The sequence below is a fragment of the Homo sapiens genome, chromosome X (genome assembly GCF_000001405.40).
Source record: "Homo sapiens chromosome X, GRCh38.p14 Primary Assembly".
NCBI lineage: Eukaryota > Metazoa > Chordata > Mammalia > Primates > Hominidae > Homo > Homo sapiens.
The window spans coordinates 11,111,228-11,123,371 of record NC_000023.11 but is presented as its reverse complement, the minus strand read 5'-3'; the positions used below and the strand labels follow the sequence as shown (position 1 = coordinate 11,123,371).

The 12,144-nt window shown below is 42.8% G+C and overlaps 1 protein-coding gene across 3 annotated transcripts, besides 1 other annotated feature; it reads right to left on the bottom strand.

Moving 5' to 3' along the window:
* HCCS (holocytochrome c synthase) lies at nucleotides 286–12,040 on the bottom strand. 3 transcript variants are annotated; one of them, NM_005333.5, is made up of 7 exons: nucleotides 11,854–12,040; nucleotides 11,212–11,353; nucleotides 8,386–8,537; nucleotides 5,957–6,105; nucleotides 4,752–4,871; nucleotides 2,379–2,465; nucleotides 286–1,760 (listed from the first exon to the last, which is right to left on the bottom strand). In NM_005333.5, the coding sequence occupies exons 2-7, from the start codon at nucleotides 11,309–11,311 to the stop codon at nucleotides 1,562–1,564; spliced, it is 807 nt and encodes a 268-aa protein (NP_005324.3). In that variant the 5' UTR covers nucleotides 11,312–11,353; nucleotides 11,854–12,040; the 3' UTR covers nucleotides 286–1,561. The 3 variants fall into 3 exon arrangements, with proteins under 3 accessions (NP_005324.3, NP_001116080.1, NP_001165462.1); NM_001122608.3 differs by having other exon boundaries at nucleotides 11,912–12,040; NM_001171991.3 differs by having other exon boundaries at nucleotides 11,949–12,040.
* Nucleotides 11,882–12,011: an enhancer, noted in NCBI's record as "active region_29410". NCBI's record gives its function as "activates an Ori minimal core promoter by ATAC-STARR-seq in GM12878 lymphoblastoid cells {active_cell/tissue: GM12878}" and the evidence as "EXISTENCE:reporter gene assay evidence [ECO:0000049][PMID:35858748]".

Here is a 12,144-nt window from a genome sequence, read left to right as displayed (position 1 = left end):
TTGCTGAGAATTATAGTTTCCAGCTTCATCCATGTCCCTGCAAAGGACATGAACTCATCCTTTTTTGTGGCTGCATAGTATTCTGTAGTATATATGTGCCACATTTTCTTTATCTAGTCTATCATTGATGGGCATTTGGGTTGGTTCCAAGTCTTTGCTATTGTGAACAGTGCTGCAATAAACATATGTGTGCTGGGTTATAAATCATTCTATCATAAAGCATTGGTTTTATAAAGATAATACGTCTGAAGAAACAATCGTTAAGTGTAAAATTATTCCAAAAAATTTTCAAAACCTGTGAACTAATCAGCTTTATTTTAAAATATACAAGTATTTTGAAATGTAGAGTTTAAGGCTGTTCTATTTCTTAAACTCCACACAAAACTGACAAATCCATACCAAATTAATCACCCACAGACTGCCAATTTCATCCACTAATTTAACACTACAGCATTCAGGATAAATTAAAGGATTTAATAGTATAGACAGTTAAAAAAAAAAAGCAGTCATTTGTAACATGCTGCTATAAATAGAACAACCAGTTTATGGATTACTGGTACAAAAAGTTTCAATGGCAAACTTAGAGCTTCCTTAAAACAAACAAAAAAAATCTAGACTGAGTTGAAGCGTTCTCCATCTGGGAAAAAAATGCTCATCTTGTGAATTTTAACACTCAGCCAAATATAAAATCATGTTTTAGAGGGGGACCATCACTGATACTGGGACTTAAGCCAGGCTTTCAAGGTTTGGATTAGGCCGACTGATGTGGGGAAGGGTGGAGGCTGCCAGCAAAGGAAGAAATGAGATTCGAAGTTGGGATAACTTGTCAAATGCCAAGGACAATGAGGAGACCTGTTTGTTGGGAGCAGAGTTACATATTAGAATAACAGGATTTAAAGGGAACATTTTTTAAAAGGTATGTTCCAAAGGAAGGTATAGTTGAAAGTACTCTATCCAGTCCAAGAAATTCATATAAATCAGAATTTGGAGAGAATTTTGCTGAGTACCTTTCCAGTGTATACCTTTGCATTTTGTTAAAGGTCACAATCATACCATAGGGGCTTTAGAAATAATGGTAACTTTTTTTAAAAAAGGTATAATCACCTCTTATTTATAATGAACAGCTTTAGTTAAAATATTTGGCCAGATGAAAGCTCTTGAGCATCACCATGGACTCTCAGGCTTTACATCTCTGGAGTATTCCTGAGAAAATAGTAAGAAAAAAAAGCAACTTTCATCACTTTTTAAAAGCTCTTTTTCAGAGGTTGTTCAGGCTTTTCGAGATGAAATATACAGACAATACTGCAGGTAAAGGAAAAACTGAGAGACTGCTTCCCACTTAAGCTAAGTAGGAAGAAAACAAAATGATCTGCTATAAACTGCAAGGTACAACACAAGTCAAAAGTGAACAGTGCATAGTATCCTTCGTTAAGTGAAGGAAAAAGTGTGATTACCCACTTGAAGTTCCCATTACATCATGAGTGCAATTCAATCTGGGGAAAATAGTTTAATGTATCGCTCAGAAAAAAATAGTTTATATTTTTCCATCTGAAACAGTGCTTTACGAGGTCCAACGCCACCAAGCGACTTTCATTCTGTCCCATACTGCCGAAAGTGAATCTAAGGCAGGACGGACGTCCAGGATGGTGAACTGGTAGTCCTTGTTGACTTCACCACCATCATAATAATCAATCACATATCTAACTTCTGTCCCGCAACGGTTTATGATCCAATCGTGCCTATCAAAAGGCAACTCATACCTGGAATAAAAACATGCCACTGAGTGTTAAAATGCTTGCAATACATTCAGTCCCGGTTTAAGCCATGAGAAAACTCAAGAAGCACATGCAAACACCTGCTCCCAAACACCTAACTGGGGAAGTCAGACTTGAAGAATTACACAGTGAACAGCACTAAGGGAAGATGGCACTGAAGAACTGTGATAAGTCCGTATCAGATGACAGCTCATCTGTCTACAAAGGAATAAGGCCAATGGGGAAGAGACCTAAGCCAGGGAGGTCAGCTGAGATACTGCAGAGATGCAGGTGTGAGCAAAAAATCTCAAGTATGCTAGAAAAGAAAGGGAGGATGGCTAAGTGCATAAACCCAAAGACACAGATCACGGGAAGAGTAAGAGGGCAGATCCAAGAACATTGACAATAACTCCATTCAACCCTATGATATATAGGAAGCAATCTACTACACCCTAATAAATCTGCCCATTAATGGGCAAACCTCAGGGAGAGAAAGACATCTACAGTTGAATATGCATTAAGTTTTGCAAGATGGCACTGCAATTCTTAGACTGGTTTTGGTGTGAAGAGAAAGTTGACCCTGACCTGAGGATGGTGAAACAACACTTCTGCGCTGACACTCACCCCATCCAGGAACGAATTCGTGCCCTTGGTGAATACTCTTTTGCTTTCCCTCCAAACCGGATCAATGATGGACCACAAGGACACTCTCTAGAATTCCCCAAATAAGAAAAGTCTGTTAAAATATTTTCTTTTCTTTGACAAAGATGATGTTCTAATTTTTTAGTAATATCCATTTTTTTCCTGTATACATTTCACATAATATAACATTTACAGAGAAAGGTAAGTTCTAAAATAATTCAAACAACAAGTGCCTATTTGTTAAAAATGTTCCTCTTTCCTTCTGGACTGGTGCATTCCATTGCCTCCCCTTCCTTCTGGATATCTACACTGCACTTTGAGGAGTCAGGAAACAGGGCCTTTCCATTTGGTGGAGGAGGAAAGGCAAATTAAAAAAAAAAACAGCCTCAAGTATTGTGCATCATGCTTCTTTTTGGCACAGAGCAGCTGGGGTTTTTCAGACAAACAAGAAAATCCTATACTCTTCTTTCATTTCAAACCAATGAACAGCCTTTATGAAGAAAAGAAAATGATGGATTAATCCCTAGAAATGGATTGTAATTAATGTTGGACCAGCTCCTTAATAACTACACATAAGATGAGGAGTGGCAGAGTCCTAGCTGGCAAATGCACTCCCTCTACCCGCAGACCCCTGCTGAGGACTCTCTAGGTGCCAGCCCTCTGTAGGCACCAGGGTATAGCAGGGCACTGACCTGCTATACAAGACCCTCTGAGCACTGTCCTCGTGGAGTTCACAGCCCACCTACAGGCTAGACAGACAGCTGTTACCGAGACAGAGGGAGTGGTGGCCAAGTCAGCAGGCCACCTATATTGTTAGCTGCTCCCATGGATAACAAGATAGGTGTCTAAGTAAGTGGGAGGGAGAAAAATTTCCAAAGTATAAAGGACTTCTATTTGAGGACTTATGAGTTACTTTTCTTCTCCTTTTAGGAACTACTCCTCTCCTTAACATCTCTTCTCAAGAGGATCACAGGCAAAAAGGTAAACTCAATCTAGGCAAAACTTTCTTCTGGAGATCATAGCATGAGTTTTTAAACGGTCTACTTAATTTTGACCGTCCAGAAAATAACTGGAGAAGGAATTGAAACTGACAAACTGAAATTCCCTTTTCTCTCTTCGCTTTGCTCCATAATCACACAAGTAATTAGCAGGTGGTCTTAATTAGAACACACTTTCAAAGTAGGTCACTGCAAACACTTGTGGCTCCTCTCAGTCCAGAGATTACTGAGGGCAACACGGTTGCAGTTGTTCCCCTCTCACATGCACCCACCCCAGGCCTGAGGCCCAGCCTGTGACAGCCAGGGAGTGCAACCAATGAACTTCAGAGTGCAAATATTAAAAACAAACAAAACACCTTAAAAAAATCATTAAGTGGACTTTAGCCAAGAAATTAATTAATCGCATTGTGCAATGAATTTAAAACCACTGTTTATGACATAATCTGGCTCAAACCAGCAGCATATGCAGTGTTCTAGATACACCCAGTCTAGGCACCACCCGAAACAGACTCAGTCAGACATCCTGCGGGTGGGACCCAGCATGCTGGGTTTTAACAAACCTTCCCCATGATCCTGATGCACGCTCCAGTGTGAGAACCACTACTCTCAACAGACTGAAGTCCTGTCTCCTTTAACACACACAGCTGCATTTACCTATTCTCCTTGAGAAAAAGAGCTCTGAGTTAAGACATCTCTTTGTGTTTAGTCCTAATGGGGATTCAATAAATGCTATTGAGGGAACAAAAATGTCTTTCCCACCTCCCTTGGGGCAGATGGCATTTTAGCATCTCCCTTCCCACATGCTCTGCTTTCGAAGGGCTGTAATGCTCCTTCTGCTGAGAGGCAGGGTCTCTGTCCCCTCCCCTTGAATCTGGGCAGGCTTCTGACACTTTGGGACTTCCCAGGCTGGGTCAGAAAATGGAGATAGAGATGCTTTTTGGAACTCTAGCTATTGGAACCTAGCCACCATATGACGAAGCCGAAAACAGCCATATTCAGAGGCCATGACCACTCGCCAGAGGAGTAAACCAGCAGGCCGTCAGAAGACTCTAGCCCACGGCTCGGAAGCCATCCTGACCACTAAGTCTTTGCAGCTGAGGCCCCAGACATCAAGGACCAGAGACAAGCCATCCTTGCCCTGTCCTTGGCTACCCAGACCCACTGAATCCACAAGCCTAATAAAATGGTTGCTATTTTTCAACTAAGAAGGGTGGCCTGTCATGCAACAATTGTCACTGAGCCATGCCTGCTACATAAAATGTTTTATTAGAACAAATGATTTGAATGTTAAAACTCTAGAAAGCTGATATGAAATAACAAAGATGCTTGAAACATTTAAGATCTCAAACATACTTACGCAGCATGAAGGGCTTCCCACTTCAAAATCTCCTTCCAAGCCTGCTCGTTATTCTGATTGTGAATTCTAATGATATTATACATATCCTTCTGACTGATATCCTCATCCTTCCACTTCCACCTAGGAAAGAATATTTGGTAAAATTTGACAACTGTTCCTGATAATGCCATAAAGTTAATCCACATATTTTCATAAGATGATTTATTCAACATTCCCCTTTGAGAAAGAACTAAGAATGCTCATTTTCTCTGAATTTAACAGATCTAAGGCTCATTTTCAAGATTTACCCATGATCATGGAGCAGCACTATAAATCCAAAGCTACTATAGAAGCATTGAAAACAAATATAAAAGGTTCACCTTAGTCTCATTTTACTGAGTCACAGTAAACCAGACTTACAGAATCATCTATTTTTAAGGTGACAATTGTTCAGATAGTACCACTGATCAATGATCCCCTAACTTTTTCTAAACATTTTATCTAACAGTGTTTTCAGTTTTTTAAAAAACCTATTACTAGCTGTGATGGTTAATTTTATGTGTCAACCTGACTATGCCACAGGATGCCCAGACATTTGGTCAAACATTATGCTGGGTGTGTCTGTGAGGGTGTTTTTTGAATGTGAGTAACATTCTAATCAGTAGGCTAAGTGAAGCAGACTGCCCTCCCCACTCCGTGTGGGTGGGTCACATCTGATCAGCTGCAGACCTGAATGACAAAAAGGCTGACCCTTCCATGAGTAAGAGGGAAGGCCTTCTGCATGACTGCTTGAGCTGGGACATTGGACTTTTCCTGCCTTTGGACTTAAACTGAAACATCAGTTCTTCTTGCATCTTGAGACCGCTGGCTTTCAGACCAGAAGTGTGCCATCGGCTCTCCTCGGTCTCCAGCTTGCTGACTACAGATCTTGGGACTCCACAGCTTTATATAATTGTGTAAGTCAATTCCCTACAATAAATATCTTCCTGCCTTCCTTGTCTCCTGCCCCCCTACACATATCCTATTGGTTCTGTTTCTCTTGAGAACCCTGATTTAATACACTGGTCTCGCACTTACATTCTGACAGGTGTGAAAAATCAGGTGATTATAAACTGATTAATACATAAAAATGTACTATATTGTTTTGAAGGTAAAAAATCTCTTTAGCATATAACTCTTGGATATTCTGACAAGAAATTTTTATCTTAAATAATATGTTCACTCACCCTTTCTTTAACATTGCATTCCAGAACATCTGCTCAGAAGGGTAAACCCACTTTTTCTCTGAATCTGCTCTCGGAATGGATGACTCTTCTCTGACAGTAGACAATGCAAATGGCTGATCTGGAGCTGGTGTTTGATTTGGTGGTGGCATCTAAATAAAATGAACAGATTTGCTTTTATAGGATATAAAGTAAAAGGCAATATAATTAACTACTTCCTGGAAAGCAATACATCACACAAAAAGCACAGATTACTTATTAAATCAGTGACATCAAAATTTCAGACTTCTCACATAATTTGACTGTTTTGAAGAGTCACATTACTGAGGTTGTGTTTCTTCACTGATTAAGTTCTCAAATATGGTAAACACTGTGGTTAAATTTTTGGCCTCTTTCTCCTTTGAACAAATTTAGAAGTAATGTCACCAAGGAATAAGAAGTAGAAACTAACGCCACGATCTTCAGGCATTTCTAAAAACTTTACGACAAGCTTTTCAAAAATGACTATTCATTCTCTGGGGAAAACTCTCATAGCACACATGTACAGCAATGCTTTTTTAAAAAAATATTCTCAGATTTTTTAGGTTTCTGCTTATGCTTCATCCCTTAGGCAAAATATATTACAGATGAGTCTTTGCATCTCAACGCTGCGAGGTCAGAAGGTGGGAAGAATCCCTTCTCCCAGACATGTGGGTCACCAATACTGTTATGCTAGCACTTAGCCTTAGCCAGGGTCTCTCATCCGTGGCACTATTGACATTTGGAGCTGGACAATTTTTAGTTATGGTGGTCTAAGCACTGCAGGATGTTCAGCAGGATATTTGCCTGAGGGGCAAAATCACCCAAGGTTGGGAATGACTGGCCTTGAACTTTCTGTGTTAGAAGTATAAAGGATTTCCTAGTAAACATTAATTAAAAGTCTCCATCACAACAAGGCCCTCAGAATACCGACAGCAGGAAGGGCTATGTGTAGTAGGCACTGCAGAGTATTCTACCTGCATTATCACCACAGTGTGTTTAAGAACATGGGTCTGAGGTGGATAAGGATTCAGTTTTGGCTCTGCCATTTCCTAGCTGGTGATGTGGGATGAATGACTCCTTCACTCTCAGTATCTTTAGCTCTGAAATGGGGACACTAAGAATACTGGCTGCACAGAGTTGTTATGAGGATTAAAGGGGAGAATGTAGGGTGCTTAGCTTAAACGCTAGAAAAGTGACCAAAAGAGGCTGGTCTGAGTACAGTAGTGTTTACGACTAATTGATCACAACCAGTTACAGATTTCTTTGTTCCTTCTCCTCTCCCACTGCTTCAGTTGGCTAGCCTTGAATAAAAAATTTTTAAAAAGTGACCACAAGAAAAGTTAGCTGTTATTCACATTCTCACTACATATCATGATCCCATGGGGTAAGTGTCTAGGTCTGTAAGGTTCCAAAAGGCCCATGTTCTGAACCACTCACCTATTAGAGATCATCTAGGCCAGTGGTCTGCCAGGGGCTTCGGATAATGCTGCCTGTCGCTGCTTTCATGCTACAGAGAAAGCAGCAGCAGCAGAACTGGGTAGTGTGACAGAGACCCTACGGCCCACAGAACCAAACATATTTACTACCTGGCCCTTTATAGAAGCAGTTTGCCAATGACCTCTGGTGTAAATATTTGAAGGCCTATGTGCAAGATAATCTTGGTGCATTGTCCAAAACTTCATTTTCAAAAACAGGCAGTGGGCCATAGTTTGTTGATTCCTGAGGTGGACGCTGCTATTGTATCCCCCACGCCCTTTCTTTTCCAGGCTAAATATTTCTAGTTTCTTTACAGGCTGTCTGGTTCACTAAAATTTCTATTCTTGATAATCCTGTGGCCCTCTGAAGTATATGCCTGAGCCTCCCGTTAAAACACGATTCCAAACTTTAGACCACAATTTCTGATGTTGTCTATCACAAAATGTAGTGATGTCACATCAACCTTGCCCTCACTTCTCAATGGCATTAAATTTGCTGGCAGTCACACGACAGTGAACCACCCTAGTGACTCGGGCAGGCTGGCACCCTATTGTACCTGAAGAAGTTCCCCAATCATGTAATGTGTCTACAAAGTTTCCCCAGACCAAAGATACCTTAACTAACTCTAGCTATGGTTCTTACAGAATTTCCCATCTACCACCTAGTAACTGTCCCAGAAGAAAATATTCATTTGGTATGGCTTATTCCCAGTACAACTATGCTGGCTCCTCATAATCACTCTGGTTTTTTTCCCAGGCACTCCCTGAAACTACACTTACTAACACATTCTAGATTTTCACTGTAGATAGAATATCTAACTTCTCTGTTTTCAAAGGACAGAAGAATTCATCCTAGCCATTTGCAACTTGTCTTGGGAGTCTGTATAAGCAACCCTGCATAAAAAGCTCCAGAAAGAAAAGATGAGTGTGGATTACCAGATTTGAAGGATCTAGGTTCTCCTTATTCTCAGCCGCAGTGCCCCTAATGGGACACTCCACGTACTCATAGGCGCGTTCCTGGTGGGCAGGCACAGAGTATGTTTTCTTCTCACAGGTTGGGCCAGATGGCTCTGTATTCACTGGACAGCCTGAAATAATCAAGTATAAAAATGGTGTCACCATGAAGGCAGGACATCTAACTCTCTCAATTGGAGCACTAAAGAGCTGAATTTCTGACCAATGATTACCACCATAGGAAAAGCCAGGTTTCTTCTGTTTAAATCTATCAAGAACTGAACTAGCTAACATTCCAAAATCCTAAAGATGAGAAGGTTCTAAAATTTACATTTCCTTTGAAAGAAAAATGAGTATACATTCTCTAATTGTGTCACACCCCCAGCAAAAATAAGCCAAAAAACCTTGGCAGTTGCAAGAGCATGTGTTATCTGTGCCATGGTTTGAGTAACCTGGCTGGATGAGCAGCTGGGGAGCTGTTAGAGGAACCTAAGAGGGGACCAGCCACATTTCACAGGGTCTCCTTGACTTTCCATTCACTAGTTCCAGAGAAGCCCAGATCCAATCAGGACACAGTTGCAATCCAGGCTTTCATTACTGATGCATTATCTCAGGTACAAGGAAGGGGAGGAGAAAATGAACAGAGGAGACATCACAGAGGCTACTGCAAAAAAATCTGAATGCCACTCTGCTTTGTCTCAAGACTGAAACAAGGCACAGGAAAACCACGTGGCCTATGGCCTATTCCCATCAGTCAATGGCAAGAGTTTAACAGGAAAAGACAGACAATAAAGAAAATATTCCACAACCCATACAGGATCAAGATGCCCATTACGAGGGAAGGTCTGAGCCTAATGAGATGAGCAATAGCAAGGGCTATGCCCAAAGACCCAGGATGCTGATCCCAATTAGTGAGGGACTGGGAAACTGGTTCAGAGAATGAGCAGGCACTTGGAGAGCTGAGACACAGAAGACAGCTGCTCATGTAATGGAATCTTGGCCTCAGGCAGCAGCAGCAGCAACTACAGCAATACACATGAAAAAGCTGAGTTTGCTTTCACTTCCTTCCCTGCACTTCTCCTCCCAAGCCCTCATTTCCTGGTGCCCTGTGCCACTGCCCACTTTAGGGGTGAAGGAAGACTTGCTATGCCTTTCCTCTCTACCACTGAAAGCACCAATCCTTTCCAAGTCATAGATCCCAGCTGGGTGTTACAAAGAAAATAACATTTCAACTTTTCACGTCATATAACCAGTAGCCCCTTCGATCTCCTATAGACACCCACATTCTTTATTAATGTAGTAAGTCTGGCAGCTCTCCAAGATATACAGCAAATGAAATAAAACCAAAGTAAGGGTTCTAGAATCTCCCTGAGGACACTCAGAACAGGAGCACACCTGCTTTGGCTGATCTGTCTCAATTCTTCCTGTACAAAGAAACCCCAGAAGAACACTGCCTGTCCTTGTCCAAGGTCACAGAACTTTTGCTGGCTTTGCCACTTACTATGTGACTTGGAGCATCAGTTACTCCAAGTCTTAGTTTCCTTGACTATAAAATAGGGAGAAAACTTAGCTTATGAAGTCGTAAGACCACATAGCTTATGAAGATGAGAATGTAAGCTCTATCAGGCAAAGCTCCATTTTGTATGATGTTATTCTCTCGTGCAGAAACAAACAAAATCCAGCAATGCTTGGTACAGAATGGGCAGTGACCTCTCAGAATAGGCTGGCTGACTGAAGAAATGAATAACAGCGCAAACATTAGTACTCAGTAAGCACACCATGTTGCTTCTGCCCTTCACGACTTACTGATTCAAGCCACACTTTAATATAAAAAATCTAAAGTAGACATGAATGAATTAAAAATGAAAGACAGCTTTTCCATTTTCATTTTCTTATCTAAAGAATGGACAGCAAGCCCGTTAAGTGATGGCTTACTTTTATATACGAAAATACTGAAATGGCTATACGAGCAAAAGTTATTTATTAAGACAGCTAGATCTAGACTAAGGTTTCTCAACCTTGGCCCTCTTGATATTTGGGGCCAGCTGATTCTTTGTTGGGGGGCTGTTCTGTACATTGTAGGATGTTTAGGAGCACTCCTGCCCTCTATTCACTTTCCTCTCAGTTGTGACAACCAAAAATGCCTCCAGATATTGGCAAATGTCCCCTGTGGGAAGGGGGGATTGCCCCCCTCCAGTTAAGAACCACTGATGTAGGCACAAGTAAACTTTGGGAAGTTGGGGCTGGTTTAGAGTACTCACTACGTTCTCATGTACTACCTCAATCATCATGACAGGCCTGTGAAACATTATTATATCTTCATCTTACAGATGACAGACTGAGGCTAACAGAGTTAACTTGTTTAGAGTCACAAACCTCAATAAGACGCAAAATAACGACCAGACCCAGGGTGCCTGACTCCCATGCCTACCAGCCTCAGCAGCATACTACACTGCCTCTTCCTTTAGAGGCTTTCCAGACTTTTTTTAAGACACAGTCTCACTCTGTCACCCAGGCTGGAGTGCAGTGGCACAATCTTGGCTCACTGCAACCTTGGCCTCCCAGGCGATCCTACCCACCTCAACCTCCAAAGTCGCTGGTACTACGGGCACCCACCAGCACGTCTGGCTAATGTTTGTATTTTTTTGTAGAGGGAGGTTTTTGCCATGTTGCCCAGGCTGGTCTCGAAGTCCTGAGCTCAAGCAATCCACCCACCTCGGCCTCCCAAAGTGCTGTCACAGGCGTGAACCACCGCACCCAGCCGTGAATTATCTTTTGTTTTTATTTTCTAGGCAAAGGGCCGATTACCTTTCATTTTCCCTTCATGCATCGGGCATCCTGAAGGTGGGGACGCTGAAGCATTTGAGGCCTGAACTGCAACAGCAGGAGCAGATGGAGACAAACCCATGGCTGGAAACAGTGTTGACTGTAAACAATTTTAAATTTCCACCTGCCAAAACAAAGAGACAGATTAATGTCTCTGGACTCAGACTATTCTCTCGTTAGTCCTAATCTGGTCAACCCTTGTTCCTCCTCTTTGTCATCCCATGGGCATCTACCAGGCAGGGTACTAACTTCGAAGGACAGCTTTAATATATTGCCCCCTTAGGGAAATACTGTGAAACCCAGGCCAACCTCTGGGGGCACGTATGTATCTAAGGCAGTGAGGATTTTGGGACTGAGGTGAGGCAGTCGCTGAGAAACCACGTCACAGCCAGGAGGTACAGGCCTGAGGCGGGAGTGGGGCGAGGATTTCCGAGGAGTGGTGACCCGGGTGGAGGAGGGGAGGTCCATTGAGCCTAGACTTGACCCCCATCCCCAGAGCCTTAGCGAGGGGCTGGGGGTCCGAGAAGGGTGCGGCGCATGAATAGGAATTCGAAGAAACGAAGGGACACCAGAGGTCGAGAAGCTGCCAAGTGTCTTCCCCACACCGTCCCGGCGCTTGCCCACCTGCTCCAGCCCGTGGTCCCCAGACCAAACCGGCCGCGGCCAGCCTGCCCTTCTGCACCTAAGCCCTCCCCCGGGCTGTTCCGGGAGGCCGGTACCGCCTTCAGTCGCCAACCCGAACCCAGAGCAGCAGTGACTTCACGCCGCCGCCGCCGCCGCCGCCGCCTTCCTCTCACTCGGTCACCGCTGTGGCTGCGGTCACCGCCGGCGTTCTCACGCACCCCTACTTCCTTTTTAGAAGGCGGGACTTCCGGGCACGCGGGAGGCGGGCTGAAGAGTAATATTTTCCGTCAA